General features: G+C 43.8%; 1 protein-coding gene across 29 annotated transcripts in view, besides 2 other annotated features; it reads left to right on the top strand.

Moving 5' to 3' along the window:
• The window catches only part of BCAR3 (BCAR3 adaptor protein, NSP family member), a 286,411-nt gene that overhangs the window by 178,430 nt on the left and 86,971 nt on the right, over window positions 1-21,010 (top strand). Inside the window, exon 3 of one of the 29 annotated variants that reach the window (NM_001412061.1) lies at window positions 2,493-2,626. The exons of the other annotated variants lie outside the window; for them this stretch is intronic. The gene's annotated coding sequence lies outside the window, so the exon portion shown is untranslated. The remainder of the gene's footprint in view (window positions 1-2,492; window positions 2,627-21,010) is intronic. 29 annotated transcript variants of the gene reach the window in all.
• Window positions 2,715-3,009: a silencer, noted in NCBI's record as "tiled region #8830; K562 Repressive DNase unmatched - State 7:EnhWF". NCBI's record gives its function as "represses a minimal TATA promoter and a strong SV40 promoter by Sharpr-MPRA in K562 cells {active_cell/tissue: K562}" and the evidence as "EXISTENCE:reporter gene assay evidence [ECO:0000049][PMID:27701403]".
• Window positions 6,638-7,837: an enhancer, noted in NCBI's record as "MED14-independent group 3 enhancer chr1:94127441-94128640 (GRCh37/hg19 assembly coordinates)". NCBI's record gives its function as "activates an origin of replication core promoter dependent on BRD2, BRD4, P300/CBP and CDK7 cofactors, and independent of MED14, by STARR-seq in HCT116 cells {active_cell/tissue: HCT116}" and the evidence as "EXISTENCE:reporter gene assay evidence [ECO:0000049][PMID:35650434]".

Raw genomic sequence — 21,010 nt, 5'->3', positions numbered from 1 at the left:
GAGAGGGGACTGGTTCCTGTTGTCGGGATGTCTGTGTTGCTAGGATAGCTGAGGGATCAGTGCTTGGATACCATTCAGGTCTTTTTCCTGCCTGTGGGTACGTGGAGGCACACATTCCTGGGAACAGCTGTGAGTGCCTAATTCCTTCGGCCTCTTGTGCTGTGGGAGCATGTGGTAGGACAATGTGGTGTTTCATTAGTTTGCATGAGTGGAACTGACTGACTCGTCACAAGTGTTTTAACTGACAGTGGCCAGAAAGTCTGCAGAATTATCCCTAGTTAAAATGAGCAGTACATTTTCCCAGGCAGTAAGTAACCTACCCTGTCACAATGTCAGATCTTCAAGGTTGAAGCAAAGATGTAAGGTCCAGAATCTATGCAGCTTTTTTCCTCTAAAACATTGATTTAAAGCCCTAACTCTGGGCTGTATCAATGCCCTCATCTGAAAAATGGTTTTAGTTATTCCTCTTCAGAACCATTGGTTTCTGTAACTACTGCCTTCTCTTTAACAAAGCAAGATGTTCCCTCAGACACGCAAATACACCAGCCTTTAGCTCAGGGTTAATCAGAAGGATGTACGATGCGAAGGTCCACATGCAAACATCTGCAGTTTATTTATACCCAGGCATGTCTGCTGTCTGCAAATTGGAAGCTTTTTGTGTACTTTTTGGAGAAAAAAATTGGATTTTGAGTTAAAAAAAAAAATCTTGGGCCGGGTGCGGTGGCTCATTGCCTGTATTCCCAGCACTTTGGGAGGCTGAGGCAGGTGGATCACCTGAGGTCAGGAGTTCGAGACCAGCCTGGCCAACATGGTGAAACCCTGTCTCTACTAATAATACAAAAATTAGTTGGGCGTAGTGGCACATGCCTATAATCCCAGCTACTGGGGAGGCTGAGGCAGGAGAATCACTTGAACTCAGGAGGCGGAGGTTTTAGTGAGTCAAGATCACACCACTACTCTCCAGCCTGGATGACGAGAGTAGAACTCCGTCTTAGAAAAAAAAAAAGAAAAAAAAAAAAGCTTTTATTAGATTAATAGATTCTATTTAATAGAAGGTATACTTAGCATAGTGACAATGGCTTAACAGCCCAAGTTCAAGAATGTTTCTGAAAAGTAATAGTCCATGGGTTGAATTGATGTTTTTATAAGTTTAAAGTTGAGTTTTAGTAACATTTTGAAATACCCCTCGGTGTTTGAACGCAGCTGTTGCGAATGGTTTAGTGCATTCCGAGGAATGGTGAATGTCCCGGTCCCTGGTGGCCTCTGGTGTGCTGAGGACAGGAGCAGCTGGGTCAGAGGTGAGCTCAGCCCCTGCATCTTGCGCTGCTCCTGGGTTGAAGAAGCCCAGAGGGTGGGAAGTGCCTGCAGATCTACCAGCTGTCTGATGGTTGTCCTAAATCCTCTACTGACAAGGATGATTTGAACCTAAATGCCAGGATCTACGCATTCTCAGCTGTTCTGGGGCAAAAAAAAATTGTTAACAGATTGCAAACCACAACCAAGAAAATGATCAGAGAATTACACAATGCAGTCCTTGTTGAGTGGAGCTGTGTAACATCTCCTCTGGACTGCCCCCTCCTCACTCCCACCCCAGGACAGACCTGTTTTAAATCATGTTTTTTTTCAGGCCACCAGCATGCTATTTGGGAAAGGTGAGGTATTTTAGTCTTCTGGGTTTTTCACGCCCCTCAATATATGTTGAAACACCTTGTAAACAGAGGTGCTATGCAGTTATAAATTACTACTCATATTCTTATCACATGTGGATTTGCGAGCCAGCCTAGCCTGGCTAGAATACACAAGCTGGAGAAGTCTTAGTTGTAAGCTAAAGGAGTAGTTGCTGTGGTTGATTGGAAGGAGACTGTCCTCAGGGGGATTGGTCTAGGTGGCCAGACCGGCCTGAGCCACATGGCTGATATGCCCTCAGGTCATGCTTCGGAATGGTGTCACTATCCAGTCTGTCACCAAGAGGCTAGCTGTGGGATTGGATGTAGAATTTCAAGCTCTCTTCTTAGAGGCCCCAAAGACAAGCATATAGGGCCTTGTTTGAAGGACTGTGCTGTTATTTACAAGTTAGAGAGGTCTGAGAAACCTTCCCTAGTTGCCCCAGCTTTTATGCAGTGTGATCTGTCTGTAGGTCCAGTTTGCCTGTGAGTATAATCACTGAAGATAAAATAACTCCTTTTGTGAAGAGGAGAAAAAACACAAGACAGATAATCCAGAGGTTTCAGTTCATATCCTTGTTTTTGCCACTTATTAGATGTGTGAACTCTATAGCAAGTTCTAAACCATAAAGTGGGAGCGTAAATAACCCATCCGAGAAGTGCTATGAAGGTTAACTGCTCACTAAATATGAAGGCTCCACAGAATCTCAGAGCTCTGACTTTCACACTTGACCCTGGTACACCCTACTGGGAATCTGCGTTGAGCAGGTCCCATGCCTGCTCCTAGCTCCCACCTGGTCACCAGCAGTTTCTTCTTCTCCTGCTCAGCTCTGCTGGGACGCCTGGCTCAAAGCCACTGAGGCCCTTGCTGGGATGTCGACGTAGCCGTGGCTATCAAAGAAAGCCACTAGTGACCTTGACGCTGATTCCAGCAGCCTGACTTGGTAGCTTTGTGACCTTGGGTAAGTTATTTTACCTTTCTGAGTCTCCATGTCCTCAAAGGGTGACTCTAAGGATCAGATACAATCTCATGTGAGGGTGCCTAACACAGAACCTGGCATAGAGGAGGCTCAGACTGATGGATTTCCTTCCTTCCTTCCTCCTGGAAGGCTAGAGCTGGGAGGTGCCTAATCCTTTGGTGTAACCTGAGATCACGTTCAATGACGGCAGCTTCTGTGGGAGAAAGTTTCTCACATGTTGATGGAGTCTGGCTGGAATCCCTCTATCTGAGCCTGCCCTACAGCAATGAGCCTTGGCCAACACTCAACAGTTTATAGGTATAACAACTACGCAGTGCACTAAAATATCAGCATACCATCGTACTAATACACAAAACAGAGCCTGTCTTCAGTGAACGGGCCCCGAGCCTTTGCCTGATTGTTCTTGTGCTTAATATCAGTGTCTTTGCTGTTTATTCTTCGATGCGTATTTATTAGCTTGTTTTATGCCAGGCATTGTGCTAGATGCCAGGTACCTAGTGAAGCACGAAATAGATGTATCCCCTGTCCTTAGGGAGTTCTCAGTTTAGGGGGCATTCAGGCAAATGCATCATTAAGTACGTAACTACAAAATGAGGAGGTACAAGGAAGATACAACATCAGAGGACCCCAAGTTACTTAGACTGGTGGAGAGAAGGCCTCTCTGGCATGGGAATTTGAAGATTTGATATAAAAAGAGAATATATTTCAGTAATAATTTTTATGTAACCGTGTTGAAATAATGTCTTTGAAATAGTAGGTTAAATAAAGGATTAAAATTAACTTCAGCTATTTTTTAAATTGACTATCAGAAAATTTAAAATTACCCATGTGGCTCACGTTGTGTTTTTATTGGCTAGCACTGGTCTAGATTTGGGTAAGGACTTCAGATTTTCTCTGTAGGGCAAAAGGAAATCTACCTTTAAAGGATTTTAAGCAAGGGAATGGCACGATCAGTTTTTAGAAGATTGCTTTGTCTCCCTGTGGAGGAGGATTGATGGAGAAGAGGATGAGGAGGGAAGGCAGGAGGTGGTTGTAAAAGTACAGGGAGCAGGTGGGGTTCTGCACTAGCGTGGTGGTAGAGGAGAGAAGTCTGTGGATTCGAGATATAGTTTGCAGGTACAGTCTGCCATATCTGCTGAGGTTTGGATATGGTGGGGTGGGGGAGAGGTATAGTCAAGCATGGCTCAGGCAGCTGGGTATATGGGATAGGGCATTTGCTGAGATAGGGAAGCTTGGGAGAGGACCAAGGCTTTATTTGTTTGGTTGATTGCATTTTCTTAGGGAAGGGGGTTATGGTAGATTGCTGAGAATCAGGACTTCTGTTTGGGGTTTGCTAAGTTTGAGATGCATGCATGTCTAAGTGGAGGTGTTAAACAGACAGGCGGTTGGAATTATGAGCCTGGAGCTCTGCAAAAAAGGTCTGGCCTGAAAGGTATAAAGTTAGGAGTCTGCACAGAAGTGAAATTAAAGCCATGGAAATGGATGCCATCGTCAAAGGAGAGATCTAGAGCTCTATGTAAAGAGTAAAGGGAAGGAACCCTAAGAACGACCTCAGAGGAATCCCAGCACAGTTTGTTCCAGGGAGTCAGCAGAGGAGGCCGAGTGCAGAGAAATAAGATAGGATATGGATAGATAGGATCTGGATAGGGTTGGTGTTCAAAAGAAGATTTTTTTTTTTTTGATGATAGAATTCAATAGGAGACTATCTTGCCATTTAAACTAAAGCATATTTTATCCACTACTTGATTTTTTTAAATAAGGCAGACATGTTTTCAGGGCCACCCTCCCTGGGGTCTGTGTCAGCAGCATGGTGATTATACTCCTGTGGTTTCTTCCCAGCGGTCCTGGACATTCCCCAAGGACCCTGTAGACAGAGGAGGTACATGGACACTGCAGTGTCTGCCTTTGCCTAAAGGGTGATGGCTGCTTTTTCAAGGTTTAGGTAGGTGGCCACGTTGAGGATGGGTGTCTGCCCGGGAAGACAGGTCAAGGGGATATGTTCCTTTATCTGGTAGGCAGAAGCCCTTCCTCTTAGAGGCTTGAGGACATTATCTCAAAACCATAGCATTTTTATTCTGCCTCTCGATTAGTTAGAAAAAGCCTTTACAAACACACTCTTTCAGAAGCCGGTAGGGAATGGGTGGGGGTGGGGTAGATGGGACTGGTGGGATTGGAGGAAGGGCAGATAGATAGCAGCCAAACAAAGCATCTGCTTTTATCAGAAGTGCTGTGTTTGAGCTTAGACAGCCTGAAGCCTGATGATTCACTGATGCCAGATCCTCTCTGCCTGCCAAGAGACATACTGGCCTTGATACGGTTTTTCTTGTTCTTACCCTATTCAATTTGACTGACTGCTGCCAAGTTAAAATTTCAACAGTGGCTTTTAGCTTCATGCTGTCACTAGAATTCTGCTGAGCCCAGGTTAACCCATGACTGGGTCAAGTTTTTATCAACCAGTACCACTGTGTATTAGTCTTGGATTCCTATATAGACTCACCATAGTGTAATATGCAGGATATTTAAATGATGCTGTTTTAACATGATTAGGGAAACTGCCTGAAAAAGGAGTTGAATTGCCATTCTTTTCATGAACACAGTCATCAGGCATTGCAATGTTTTCAGATAAGATAGACACTGACTCATAGAAAAGTAGGAACTGGGCCAGGCGCGGTGGCTCACGCCTGTAATCCCAGCACTTTGGGAGGCCGAGGTGGGCGGATCACCTGAGGTCAGGAGTTCGAGACAAGCCTGACCAACATGGAGAAACCTTGTCTCTACTAAAAATACAAAATTAGCTGGGCGTGGTGGTGCATGTCTGTAAGTCCAGCTATTTGAGAGGCTGAGGCAGGAGAATCGCCTGAACCCAGGAGGCAGAGGTTGCAGTGAGCCGAGATCCTGCCATTGCACTCCAGCCTGGGGCAACAAGAGCAAAACTCCGTCTCAAAGTAAAAAGAAAAGTAGGAACTCGCTGTTGAAATGAAAGAACCAGGCATTTTAGAAGTAATCAGGCCTTAGAATCTCTGACAGCCAGGGAGGGAAATGTGTTCTTGTCTATAGTCTACCCTAGACTGTAAGAAAAAGGATTCCCAAGGTCGAGGTACATGATAAACACAATCCCATGGCCTCAAGTTTAAAAAGAGAAACACAGTTCAGGACAATTAAAAACAATGCTGTGACCCCAGTTCCAAAGGAGGAAGAGGTATGTGGCCATCCAGATAGCTCTTCTGTTTAAGGATGTGAATGAAAGACTGACTCCAGTCTGAACCTGCTCCTTTAAAGGATTCCCCCAGTGTGGTAATGAGGAGCCAGGGCCACTTTGATGTATTCATTCACAAGTATGTTGAACTTTGGTGTGCCAGGCTTTATGCTAGGTGCTGGAGATTCAAAGACAGAAAGGCCAGGTCTTTGTGCATGTAAGGAGCCCTCAGAGGAAGGATGCCCATTTGAACTACCTCTCCTTAGCAGCACCTGTTCTCCATCTTCTTTGCAACTGACCTAATTTCTCATCCACGGTATAGCCCTTTGTATTGCTCCACTGGATTGATAAGCAATCCTGCCTTTCCTGACCTCTGACCTTAACATCTTTCCAGGTATCATGTTACTTTTTCTCCTTGACTTGCTGACTGCAGGTGGCACTTTCTAGATAACCCTTTCCTTTGGACCTGCCTTCTCTGTGCTGCCACTTCCTCTGTGCTTTCCTGACCTTGGACCCTGAGCCAGACCCAGGGAAGGTCGGGTCATGCAACCAAGGTCCATATCAGAGGGTGGCTCTGGGCTGTAAAGAAACAGAGTGCAGAGTGAAAAGAGGATTGTGAAAAATGTGAAGGGTAACAAAAGGGCTTTCAGAAGTTATGTTTGGAACAATAAGACCAAAGAGAGGGGCTTGTGAGAGAAACCAAACTGCTAAGCTTCTGTTCAGCTTGCATTTTTTTCCATCAAGAAATGACTTCTCTGACTGGAAAGGGTAGGATAAATGTGAAGCAAGAATCGCTGGCCTGGAGTAGATGAGGCCATGACAAGAGACTCTAATGCCACCCGATAAGGTGAAGCCCCAAAGTCCAAGAAGACTGAGGGAGTGTGAGACTGAGATCATCAAATCATGTGATGTTGGAGGAATAATGGAGTAACAAGAACTACAGGAAGGATGCAGGTGGATACATAGTTTAATTTTTAAAAAAGGATTTAGAGAGAGAAAAGCTACAAAATGATAAGCTTGACATCGATCTCAGGAAATATTCTATTATAAAGTGGATTATCAAGACAACGATTTTTGAATACTTGATAAAGGAAGCAGTCATCGTTAGTAGCTATCAGGGCTTTGCTAAAAGCCAGTCATACCAGATTAACTTTAGTTCCTGGGGTTACTTGGTTGGAAGCTTAGAAGAATGTTGAGAAGGCATGCATGCAAATCAGTCACTGGTGCTATCCGTGGGGTGAGGAAAATTCAGGCTAGATGATAATACAGGAAGCACGCTGGAGGCTGTGTCCCCTGTTTTCATCAGTTAAAAAAATCTTCTAGACAATAATATTGGCATACAGATCACATACATGAATGACAAATCTAGGGGAATTGTTAATAGGTCAGAGCAACAGAAATGAGATTTTTTTTTAAAAAAAAAGAGATCTTGGTATTTTGAAACAGCAAACCAAACCTAGTTGAATACAACTTGAGAGGGAGAAAGAAAGACTAGCACCAGAGTCCAAAACCATTCATTACAAATGAAAGTATGGGGTTTGGCTAAACAGCCACACACGAAAAATATTTCAAGATCTGGAGAACTGCAGCCTCAGAATGAGTCAGCAGCATGCTATGGCTGTTAAAGAAGCTCCCGTGATTTTCAGGAGCATTAACTAAAGTTAATATTCTGACCATCGGAGTTGGTCACACATGGCTGCCCAAATCATACCTGGTGAATTGTTTTTAACTCTAGACATCAGAAATGGAAGGTGAATCTGCCCCTGACTGCAGAGCAGTGAGCTTCTGTTTAGACCTCTCCTGCTTTGAAGCACTTCTATTGCTTTAATCATGAAGTATCCCTAACATTCTTCTGTATTCGTGAAAAGGAATTTCTCGCATCACGTGTTAACCCTGGGTGCAGAATATAAAATGAGTGTCAGCCTTAATCCTGCTAACTGCTAGTAAAACATACTTTAACAAATAAGATCAATGGGTATGTTTTAAGATGTGGAAGACTGAATCTCTTCTCATTTATTTTGCAAGGGGATGAAACAAAAATATTTAAGCGCACATCTAGAAGTTTTATAGTTCTCTGTTTAAAGCTACATTGGGGCTGGGCGCAGTGGCTAACACCTGTAATCCCAACACTTTGGGAGGCCAAGGTGGGTGGATCACCTGAGGTCAGGAGTTCGAGACCAGCCTGACCAACAGGGTGAAACCCCGTCTCTATTAAATACAAAAAAATTTAGCCGGGTGTGGTGATACATGCCTGTAATCCCAGCTACTTGGGAGGCAGAGGCAGGAGAATCTCTGGAGCTCGGGAGGCAGAGGTTGCAGTGAGCGGAGATTGCACCATTGTAATCCAGCCTGGGGCAACAGAGCGAAACTTCGTCTCAAAAAAAAAAAAAAGCTACACTGGGCCAGGTATGGTGGCTCACCCCTGTAATGCCAGCATTTTGAGAGGCCAAGGCTGGCAGATCACTTGAGGTCAGGAGTTCGAGACCAGCCTGGTCAACATGGTGAAACCCATACCGTCTCTACTAAAAATACAAAAATTTGTAGGCCGGGTGCAGTGGCTTACACCTGTAATCCCAGCACTTTGGGAGGCTGAGGTGGGTGGATCACCTGAGGTTGGGAGTTCAAGACCAACCTGACCAACATGAAGAAACCCCGTCTCTACTAAAACTATAAAATTAGCAGGGCGTGGTGGCGCATCCCTGTAATCCCACCTACTCGGGAGGCTGAGGCAGGAGAATCACTTGAACCCGGGAGGCGGAGGTTGTGGTGAGCGGAGATCATGCCATTGCACTCCAGCCTGGGCAACAAGAGCAAAACTCCATCTCAAAAAAAAAGAAATTAGCCAGGCATGGTGGCGGGTGCCTGTAATCCCAGCTATTTGGGAGGCTGAGGCAGGAGAATCACTTGAACCCGGGAGGTGGAGGTTGTAGTGAGCCAAGATCGTGCAATTGCACTCCAGCCTGGGCAACAAGAGTGAAACTCCGTCTAAAAAAAAAGAAATTATCCAGGCATGGTGGCGGGCGCCTGTAATCCCAGCTACTTGGGAGGCTGAGGCAGGAGAATCGCTTGAACCTGGGTGGCAGAGGTTGCAGTAAGTCAAGATCGTGCCATTGCACTCTGGGCTGGGCAACATTGCGAGACTCTGTATCAAACAAACAAACAAATAAATAAGCAAGCTAGCTACATTGCTTTTAAATTTAGCAAAGGCTATATGCACAATATTCCCCTGCCTGCAGTAAGAAAGTAACTCTTTATTGGGACCTTAATATGATTCCCAACATCAGTAAATAACCTGCTAATCTAAGCACACACTAGCTGATATTTTTCCAAAAATGTCATTTCTGCACTCACCAGGCGTGTCCCATTTTAAGCCTGTTTGTTTTCTCTTTTTCCTGGTAAACAGATAGAAATGGCCCTATGGTAAACTCTGTCTGTTCTCTTGGTTATCTCCCTGATTAAGTTTCTCCCTGGTATTTTAAACATGTTCAGAGAGATTCATTTTCAACAAGATCAGCCAGCCTCTCACAGTATCACTTTGAAAACATCTGGTCTCATTGGGGCTGGGGAGCCAGGCGCTGCTCTGGCAGCAGTGCTGTTCTGTTGCTGAGGGAGTTCTGTCTGAGGCCATCACAGTTCGGTCGCTGGCCTGTGGCTAAATTATCTCCTTAATGAGGGGGCCTGTCAATCCAAGAACAACATTTCTCTCTTGTTCCCTCTCTCCTTCCAATGTTTTATTCCCTTAGTGAACTCATAGAGTGTAGTGGGAGGAAGGTCTAGGTCTTCCGCGTATTAGAGAAAACACACACACACACACACACACACACACACGTTCATTTATTCAAACCAACATACATGGAGCAACTGCACGGGAGGTACAAAGGTGAATACAGTGTGGTCCCTGTTCTTAGTGAGCTCATAGTCCAGTAAGGGACATAGACGGGAATACACATGGTATATCGAATTGTAATTGTTTGTCATCACAAAGTTTTATAATTCATAGGAAAGGAGCACTGAGGAGATGTCACTGATTGTATGAGTTGTGTGTGTGGGTGGGGGTGGGAACGTGTGGTCAGAGAAGCCAGGGATGAATGAGAAGAGGATGGGGACCCCAGGCCTATTGATACAGGTAATTCCAAGTAGTTAAATTTGCTGGAGTGTAAGGAGCAAGGTGAGGAGATTAGGCTGGTGAGTTGGGCAAGACCTTAGAACCGTGATTGTCATCTAAAAAATATAAAATGAGAATGCTAGACTGTCCCATGTAATAACCTTATCTAATAGAACATTATTATACTTATATATGTAACCATATATATAATATATATTTCTATTATAGTAGAAGGAATATTGTCCAGTAGATGCAAAATCTTCATAGACTTAAAGCCGGTTGCTGGCCAGGCATGGTGTCTCATGCCTATAATCTCAGCATTTTGGGAGGCTGAGCAGGGAGGATTGCTTGAGCCCAGGGGTTTGAGAACAGCCTGGACAACATAGCAAGACCCCATCTCTACAAAAAAATAAAAAATAAAAAAATTAGCCAGGCATGGTGGCATGCGATTGTAGTCTCAGCTACTCAGGAGGCTGAGTCAGGAGGATTGATTTATTTAACCCCATTAGGTCGAGGCTGCAGTGAACCAATGTTGCACCACTGCACTCCAGCCTGGGCAACAGCAAGGCCCTGTCTCAACAACAACAAAAAACCTGTTGCTATCTCTGTTTCCCCTATCCCTTCATTCCCTCTTATCCCCAGCTAAGATTTTGAGATGTTGCTGAAGCTTCATGCTGGAGAACAAGGGGTGAAGCCTCTGGATTCTAAGGCCATATACACATGCAAATGAGCGGAAGCCCCCAGTTTGCCTGTGGAGGGCACACTGTCTCCCAGTTGTGTAGTTCACCTTTCCTGATTGTGTGACATACCCTGGTGCATGGGTTGGTTAAATGGTAGACTAGTGGACTCCAAGGCTGAGGTGTTTGTTCCTCATGGGCCCCACTGCTTCTGGTAAACAGAGAGGTTCAGCCTACTGGCTACACTCATCTTAAATCTTGTTGTGTTACATTGTAATTAAGTGTTCTAGGAATGAGTTCATTCAGGATGAATAAACACCAGCAAAGCAAGAACTCCATCCAAGACATGTAAGCCTTCTAGTCCCTGCCCTCAGTAAGTTCTAAATCTAAGGTTTTTGCATAGCGCTTTTATATCCAAGAAACTTGCTCAACTTTCTTTTTTGTTTTTGAGACAGGGTCTCACTCTGTCGCCCAGGCTGGAGTGCAGTGGTGCCATCTCGGCTCACTGCAACCTCCACCTCCAGGGTTCAAACAATTCTCTCATCTCAGCCTCCAGAGTAGCTGAGACTATAGGAGTGTGCCACCATGCCCAGCTAATTTTTGTATTTTTTTTTTTGTAGAGACGGGGTCTCACCATGTTGCCCAGACTGGTCTTGAACTCTGCTCAACTCTCTTAGTAGCTCTGCATAGATTCTTTGTGTGTTCTATGCAGACAGTCATCATTTGTGACTCATTACTGTTTTGAATCATTACAACCAGTTTTGTTCTTTCTTTTCCAGTCCTGATACCTTTTATTTCTTTTACTTTATTTAACTGTACTGGCTAAGACCTCCAGGACAATGTTGAAAAGAAGCAGTAACGGACTGGGCGCGGTGGCTCAAGCCTGTAATCCTAGCACTTTGGGAGGCCGAGGCGGGCGGATCACGAGGTCAGGAGATTGAGACCATCCTGGCCAACATGGTGAAACCCCATCTGTACTAAAAATACAAAAATTAGCTGGGCGTGGTGGTGGGCACCTGTAATCCCAGCTACTCGGGAGGCTGAGCCAGGAGAATGGCTCGAACCCAGGAGGCGGAGGTTACAGTGAGCCAGGATCATGCCACTGCACTCCTGGTGACAGAGGAAGACTGTCTAAAAAAAAAAAAAAAAGAAGCAGTAACAAGCGACATGCTGTCTTGTTTCTGACTGATTGATTTTAGTGATGCTTCTAATACTTCACCATCTAGAATGACACTTGCTGAGGTTTTTGGCAGATACCCTTTTCAGGTTGAAGCAATTCTCTTGCATGTCCAGTTCATTAAGCTTTTTTAATTCCAGACATTATGAAAAGGTGAGGATTATTTTTTCTTTTTCTTTTCATTTTTTTTTTTTGTGGGCCATACATCAGACTTAAAGGATTCTTTTAATGCTTTTTTCATCAATTCAATGTTCAAAATTATTTTTCTCTTTTAATCTGTGAATGTGGTAAATTGTATTAACAGGTTTTCTCATGTTAAACTGTATATGCCTGGAATAAACTTTATTTGATTATGATATATATTTTATACATTCTTGGATTTGGTTTGTCAATACTTTTTTAGGATTTGTTCATACCTACTCATGTGATATTAGCCTATGCTTTTCTTTTACTGACTTTGTCTGTTTTTGGTATCAAAGTTATAATGCCCTCTTTTTTGTCTCTGGAAGAGTTCATATAATTTTCAAGTAATAAATAATTCCAAAGTTTGGAAGAATTTGCTATATAGTAAAACTATATAGGCCTGATATTTTCTTTGTGGGAAGATATTGAACTACTTCTTCAGGTTTTTTTAAATGTTTATAGGATTATTTTGATTTTCTGTTTCAGGGAACCAAAAAAGAAACCTATTGTCTCTACACAAATGCTGATGGGAAAAAATAATGGCAATAATTTTTCTCCTAAGAATCCATAACCACGGGTCAAGTCTTTATGTTGGTTGGGAATTCAAATTCCTATTACCTGCTTTCAGATAAATCCAAAATAGAGAAATCAAAGTGTCTGGGTTGGCAGTGCCCACTAGTAACGAAACAATGCAAATCTTTTTTGGATGAAAACTTGCTCAACAGAATGCTACTCAGGTTATCCACAAATTTGGCTGAATGTAAATTCCCTTTCAGAAACAACCATACACACTGGAAAAGAAGCCCCAAAGAGTGAAAGTCAGCAGAAATAACAATAGCCTGAGACCCACAAAGACTTTAGATATTAGAGGCCGGGTGCAGTGGCTCATATCTGTAATCCTACCACTTTGAGAGGCTGAGGCAAGAGGCTCAACATAGCGAGACCCTGTCTCTGCAAAAGATTAAAAAATTAGCTGGGTGTGGTGGTACATGCCTGTAGTCCTAGCTATTCAGGAGGCTGCAGCAGGAAGATCGTTTAAGCCCAGGAGGTCGAGACTGCAGTGAGCTATGACTGTGCACTGTACTTTAGCCTGGGTGACAAGTGAGATAGTCTCAAAAAAAAAAAAAAAGACTTCAGATATTGGAATATCAGATACAGGCTATAAAATAACGATGTATGGTACATTTTTTTTTAAAAAGATAAAATCATAAGTGGTCTCAGAATAAACAGGAAAATATAAAAAGAACCTACTATAATTTCTAGAAATAAAAAACTATAATCAATAAAAATATAAAACCCAATGGCTAGGTTAAATAATAAATTAGATATGACTGGAGAAAATACTTATGAATTAAAGACAGAAAGTAATCACACAGAACATAGCACAGAGAGAAAAGGCAATGGAAAGTATGAAAGAGACACTGAAGGAGAAGGAAAAGCCCCAAGTACATTTAACCAGAGCTCTAGAAGGAGAAAATTGAGAGAAAGGAAAAAGCAATGGTCAAATTTTAAATAATAATGAGAAATGGTAAATCTTCACCTAGACACATTGCAATAAAACTAGACCACCAAAGACAATGAAAAGATCTCAAAAGCAGTCAAAGGGCAAAGAAAGCACAGTAACAATTAGACTGATAGCAGATTTTCATCGGCCAAAAGGGAAGATGAGGCACTTAAAATTTTGTGCCTATCAAAACTATTAAGAACAAGGGTGAATACAGAGACTCCTAGACAAATGAAAACAGAGAATGTCCTGCACGAAGAAGGAAAAGGATGCCAAAAGGAAAGCCTAAGATCTAAAAATGCATTCTTAACTAGTGTCTGCACAGCTCCCTTGTTTTGTTGTTCTCTGCTTTTCCTTCATGGGTTGACTATTTTTGTTGGTCTGAAGGGATCCCTTAAATGTTTGTCATGTTTCATTGTACTTTTTGGGAAAGATTTATGTGTCCATAATTTGAAGGATGTGAAAGACTCTCCTAAAAGAGCTGATTTACCAGTTGAGAGGGAAGGAGAGCTTATTTGCTATTCAGTAGTTGTGTGGCAGCAGTCATATGTGCACTGATAGCCACAGAAGTAAGTAGTAATGAAGAGAATTCTTATTTATTCAGATCCCAGTGGTCTTGAAAGTTAGTATAGTATAGTGCTTGGAGGCAAAGGTATTTGCTAATTCATTGTTAACAAATGGATTGAGTGCCTGCCATGTGCCAGGCATGATCTACTTAGTTTCCTTGGAAAGAATTCTGTGGGTGTCCTTACCTCTCTCTTCCCTTTCACTCACCAAAGCCAGTCATTTATCAAGAGCTATCTATTCTTGGAAAAATTTCTTAAATCTGTACACCATCCCCCCACCTCCCACACTCTAGTTCAAGTCTCATCATCATCTCTCATCCAGATGATGCCAACATCCTCTTCTTTGGGCTTTCTGAGTCTATCTTGCCCTCCAGCTAATCTGATTTCCATGCTGCTGCAGGGGGACTTTTCAAAAACACAAATCTCTGGTTATTTTCCAGCTTAAGATCCTTCAATAAATCCCATTGCTATCATGATAAAGTCTAAGCATGTTTGTGTGGCATCCAAGCCCCTTGTGACCTGGCCCTGCCTCCTCTCCAGCCTCAGCTCCCAGCCCCTTACTGTTCCTGCTGCTGCCCCGAACGCTGCGCTTAGGTTTATTGTTCTCTTACTCAAGAATCCAGCAAATGCTCACTGGGCAACTGCCATGTGCAAAGCACTGAGGGTACCAAGGTGAGTAAACTGGACAAAGCCTCACCCTTGGAGGGTTGTATTCCAGGGGAAAGATAGACCCTGAGCAAACAGACATTTACTATAATATCAGGTATGATGGAAAAAAATAAAGCCAGATTAGCAGATAGAGGGGAGTGGTGGGGCAAATCTAAATAGGCTAGGTAAGGAAGGTCTCTCGGAGGAGGTGGTGTGTGAACAGAGACCTGAATGGTGGGAGGGAGCAAGCCCCTGAGTATCTGGGGATGAATATTCTGGGCAAAAGAGTAGTCAGTACCAAGGCACTGAAGCAGAGGCAGGCTTGGCATGTCTGAGCAACAGGAAGAAAAAGTCAGTATGTGACTGAGATGGAAGAGTGGAATAGACAATGAGCATGTTCATTTTTCTTTGCTGTGTAACAAAAACTTGGCGACTTCATACCCATTCATTACCTCACGGTTTCTGTAGGTCAGAAGTCTGGCTTAGCTCAGCTGAGGTCTCAGTTCAGGGTGTCCCACTTAGGATGTCAGCTCTGGGGAAGAATCTGCTCCCACACTCATTCAGGTTATTGGCAGAATTCAGTTCCTTGCGGTTGTAGGACTGAAGTCTCTGTTTCCTGGCTGTCGGTGGTGAGGGCAGCTCCCATCTCCTGGAGACCACTTGCAGTTCTGTGCCATAGGCCTTCTCATAACACTGCACCAGCGGCAGGGTCCCTCACATCAGATCCCCGTCATACTTCATGTCAGGCCCACCTGGGTGATCACTGTCTCGTAACATCAACTGACTTCAGCCCTTAATTCCATCTACAAAATCCCTGTGCAGCAGCACTAATCTAAACACCAGACTAATTTTTGACTGAGTAGCTAGGGGATAGGAATTTTGGGGGGCTGTCTTAGGAATTCTGCCTGCCACCATGAAGTTGGACTGGTGGCTGGGGTCAGGCCAACCAGGCTCATAGGGCATGGTGAGGACTTGAGGGTTTTGTTCTGATGAGGTGGGAGCAGCCTGAGTAAGGACCATCGTGGCTCTGGGTAGAGAGCAAATTGTGGAGCTGGCGAGATGCAGAAGGTATTGCAGGTGTCCAGCGGGAGATGATGGTGGCCTGCGCTCAGGTGGCATTGACTCCTGAACAGCTTGCAGTCCCCCAAATGTACCATGTTGCCTTGTGTCCCTATATCTTTGCACATGCTTCTCCTGTTGCCTGGAGCATTTCGCATCACCACCTACCCCATGTGGGGCTTCTTCACTGAAACAAGTCCCCACTGAGTGCTCCAAACCTAGCTCAGATGCTGCCTGGAGGCCTCTCCACAGTGTTTCCCACCCACTGGCACCTTCTCGCCAACCTGAGCTTTGTTGGGTCTGTTAAGCTGTCTTCCGCCCTGTGCTGTAACCTCTCTGGAGTCAGGGGCTTTGTGTTTGGTTCCTGTGTTTCCATTGTCTAGCCTAGTGCATGGCATATTATAGATGCTTGATGATGTTTGTGGGCTGAATACAAGAACTATGGGAGATGACTGGGCGTAAAGTAGACATGTTACGACTGTTGGAAAGCTCACCCTGTAGAGGGAAAGAGCATATATAAAAAAATATACAATACAGTGAACTGGAATACAGACACCATGCCAAGTGCACACAGGAGGTGTGCCACCTCTACAGATTGCTAGTGTGCGTGGAGCTTAAAGGGAGCCTTTATCCTACTCAGTCTGCAGTAGTTGGCGCTAGCTTTTCACATTCCTCCATTGCATGAAATATTGATAGTATTGCAAACAATTCCATTTTGTTATATCTAAAAACATTTGTTTGGCAATACTCTTAGCCATTAATTTATTCAATAATTAAAGAAGTAAACAGTCATTCATTTAAAACATTCTATAACTTAAGACTGACAAGTAACCTTCCTTCCCTATCTGTATTTCAACTACTTGGAAAAGAAGGTCTGTACTAGTGAAATTTTGCTGAAGAGTAGGACCTCTTAATTCAAAATAACAAACACTTACAGATCAAGTGTCCTTTTAAGAGGGAGGAAATTGTCAATCTGGTTACTAATGAGAAACAAACTAAAATAGTAAGAATATCATTTCTGCGACTCAACTAAACATTTCTAAAGTTTGAACTTTAAAAAGTGGGATGCTGGAAAGAATGATTTAACCAGAGTAGACACAGTGATGTTATTTAAAACTTCATAAGCTTAAAAGCAAAATAATGAGGGAGTCCAGTTTCACCCTGCTGGCTTCCCTGTTGGCCATTCACAGTGGGGCAGCGTGCCTGCCAGGAGGGGCCGAGGTGCCTGCCAGACCCTCCGTTGCAAGTAGAGATGCACCCACCATGGAATCACAGGGTGAGGACTCATAATTGGCATAAGCCAAAAAAAATTATAAAAAAAAAAAACCTTTTCATTTATATCGCCAAGTTTCTCTGTTTGTTTTCTAGTGATCTGTCTTAGAGAATAGAAATCTGTGGTGCAAGAACTGTTTGCTGTACAGTCTTGTGTAAATAATTGGATATTCTATTTCCAATTAGAGGCTCGGTCTATAGGGCCAACTGTGATGTTTTCTAGCTCCCTGGAAAGGGTGTCTGGGTGTGGAGAATGTCTTCTTTTTGGTTAGCAGCGATTGGGTGGCTGGCTGGGAAAGAAGTAGACACAGCATTTCTGCATTTAAATATAATTTTAATTTGGTTCAGATTTTTTAAAGCTTTTGGATTTGTAATGCATTAACTTGGTTTTATGATACTGTCCTTGTATTCTTTCCCATGCTTCTCTAAAAAGGGTGAGGAGAATAAGCAGATCCAGGACCCCTTGGAGCCCTGTAACTAGAATCTGAGAACACTTGAACTCCTGTTTGCTTTCAGAACAGAATGAACAAGGCTCCCGTAGCAGGCCTTGCTGGGTTCACCTGGGAGCAGCACTAAGAGGGAACTTTAGTCTTATCCTTTTCTCGGCTCTCAAGGCGTTTTAGATGAAGAAAAGCAGAATAATTTCATGGGAAGTGCCAAATACCCCCTCAGAAGTTCTCTGGGTAGTTTGCCTAACTTTTTTTGGCCTCACTGCCAGAGAGCACCGCTGGTTTGTCTGTGTGTGGCCGCATGGGCTAACATGTTGACATGGGGAACCCGGTGTGGATGCTTCCACAGGCCTGATGAGATCAGTGCTGACACGGGCTTGGGAGGCATCCTAAATGTGATGCCGCTTCTCTTGGCTTCCCTTTTATAAAAGGGGGAGGGGAAGGGAGTGTAGGGTAGGGGTAAGGCCAGAGTGGGAGAGTTACCTGGCAACTTCTCTGTGCCTTTTTGTAGCCTCAGTGTTGAATGGTCAACTGTACATCTAATCGACTTCTTTAACCATTACTCCTGAGAGCCTCTAACTTGCTGGCCATTGTACCAGGACATACAGTCTAATGTAGTCCACATCTGGTTCAAACCTCAGACTCCTCTTCCTAGCTGAGTCTCCTCTGTTTTGTGGTCTGTAAGTTGAGGATAGTACCCCTTTCTTCACAGGATTATAAAAATTAAATCTTCTAATTTATGTAAATCACTAGCACAAAGTAAATGCTCAATAAATGTTTTCTTGTTTCCTAAGATAGATACAGTCTCTGCTCTCACATGCTAGCTTTTTCCAACAGTCTGGACAGAGGACCATCCAGCTTCCCATCTGCCAGATGACCATGGACCTTCACACCCATCTTGGAAGGCAGTTCATCCCATTTTCAGATGGTGTAGTTTTTGGAAAGTACTTCCTTAAGTGAGGTGAAAATCTTCCTCCCCGTAGGTCCCTCTGGCTGTGCCTAAACGGAATATTTGCTCCTTCTTCCATACAGAAGTCCTAAGCTGTTACTGACAAGCAGCCTGTGTCTACCTTCTCCCCAAGCCCACTCTCACCCAAGCTAAATGTTCCTCTTCCTTTTGGTTCTTCCCATGTTATGTGGCTTCAGTACCTTCTCTCTCTACCTGGTTGCTGGTTTTCTGGACCTGTCCTGGGGAGCCAGTGTTCTATTTATTCCTGTTTTATTTACTTTTAGGGTATAAGTGAATATTCCAGATGTGCTCTGACAAATGGCTCCTACCTCCTTTCATTCATGGTTTTTAATCTTCTGTCAATGTAGCCTAACATCCCACTGGCATCTATGATAACTGTATCCTGCTATTTCACAATTAAACTTGGTCAATCAGATTTCACATCTTTCCCATCTTCTACTTGCACAAGTGGAATTTTTAAATTAGAAGTTCAAATTTTATTCCTGTTCTGTTTCATCGGGTTAGGTTTTGCCCATCACCGAATTTTTTGGGGAGAGGGGAAGACCTTATTAATGTGATTTAATACACAGGTCACACTTATAACACTTAATATATGCCCACATATTACTTACTAATGCCAGGTGCTGTTTTAAGTATTTTGATAAATTTCACCTTTGCTCTGTCTCCACAACTATCCTATGATACAAGTACTATTATTCCCATTTTATAGATGACACAACTGAGGCATAGAGAGGTTGTGGTCACATGGTGAACTGTGTTGAGATTCACACAGTAGTAAGTGATAGAGGCAGTATTTGAAACCAGGTAGTCTGGCTTTATAGCCTGTGTTCATTATCACTCAGCTGGAGTGACTGTTACATGAACTAGCCCTTCTGGTTTTCTTTTTTGAGACAGAGTCTTGCTCTGTTGCCCAGGTTGGTGTGCAATGGCATAATTTCGGCTCACTGCAACCTCTGCCTCCTGGGCTCAAGTCATTCTCCTGCCTCAGGCTTCCAAATAGCTGGGATTACAGGCGCTTGCCACCACGCCCAGCTAATTTTTGTATTTTTAGTAGAGACTAGGTTTCACCATGTTGGCCAGGCTGGTCTCGAACTCGTGACCTCAAGTGATCTGCCTGCCTCGGCCTCCCAAAGTGTTGAGCCAGGTGTGAGCCATCACACCCTTACTCGCACACATTACAGGTGTGAGCCATCGCACCCTCCTAGGCTTCTTTTTTTTTTTTCTTGATTAATGAATTTGATCACTGTGCCATCAGAGTTCTCGTTTAAGGGATCATAATAGTATGAATGGAATGGAGGCTTGGATGGAACACTTCTGTCCACTTATAAGGACCTTTCTAGATAATCAGTGGTTTGTTGTTGGGCTTTTTTTTGGTTGCGGGTAGAGTGGGTAGAGTGCTGGCTGTTGAGTTCAAACAAATCTACCTTACGGAATACTAGATAACTTGGGGTCTTATAAATTGTTTGGTCATAGCAATGTCATGACTTCCTCAACTTCCTTGTTGAAATCCAGATATGATTTAATTATAGCATTCGTTAGATCTGCTGGTCTATTCGTCATATCACAAAAGGCAATATAGTCAGATTTGTGACTGTAACTCTTTTTTTTAGGTGCTGAACAAGTCATTCTGGTTAAATTTTGCCTAGGACCTGCTGTTTTTACCAGATTTATTTGTAAAACCCTTTTCCTTTTGCCTTTTTTTTTTCCCAGCTACATGATTTTTTTTTTCCTTTCACCTTTTGAAAGCTGAAACAATCTTTTTTTCCCTTTCTCTAGAGAGGCATGTGAACACTCACCACACTTCCTAAGCTAGTTCTCTTTGGCTAAACCTCAAGCTCTTGGGAAAGAGGTGGATAACCAGAGTTGGCCAAGCCAGGTGCTGTGTGTGGGTGGTTTCTGGGGCAGCACTGGCTGCAGTTAGCAGTGTCCCCACACAAAGATGGAACCACCTCAAGACAAGGTGTCCTGTGCTGTCCCCATAGCCTTGCTTGTCTGTGCAGACCCAGCACTCAAGATGTCCCCCAACCCACCCCTGGGTGAACTCCCCTGTGCTCCTGTTTGGCCCTCCACCATAACACACTTCTCTTGGCAGAAGAGAAGGAAACTAGGAGTTGCTGAGCAATCTGTGTCTTCCCTTAGCCCAGGGCCCTTTGCTTCCAGCAGTTGGCTCTCCTTGTTCTCAGTCTTCTTATCCTAGTTACTAGAGCTTTCTTATGCATCTTAATTTTTCTTCTCTGGTTCCTTGAAGCTGGAGCTGGTATTCAAGAAGAGTTCCCTGCCCTCTAAAGCAGGGAACAGTCAGTGAGAGCAGTCAGTCTCACTGTGGAAGTTAGGTCCAAGCAGGGGGAATGACAGCTAATGACACAGGGCAGCCTGCAGGAGTGGTGCAGACCAGGGAAGCTGCAGCCAGGAGCCAGGCTGAGGGAAGGTACCTCAGGGAGGGCTTCCTGGAGGAGGTTGGACCAAGACCCACTGGCTGGGAGAGGCCGTCTTGGCTGGAGTGATGGCGGGCCTCAGACAGAAGAGGAAAATGAGGCTCCTCAGGTAACTTGGGGTTTCC

Source organism: Homo sapiens, chromosome 1 (genome assembly GCF_000001405.40).
Source record: "Homo sapiens chromosome 1, GRCh38.p14 Primary Assembly".
Classification (NCBI taxonomy): Eukaryota; Metazoa; Chordata; class Mammalia; order Primates; family Hominidae; genus Homo; species Homo sapiens.
This window is presented reverse-complemented; position numbering and strand designations above follow the sequence as displayed.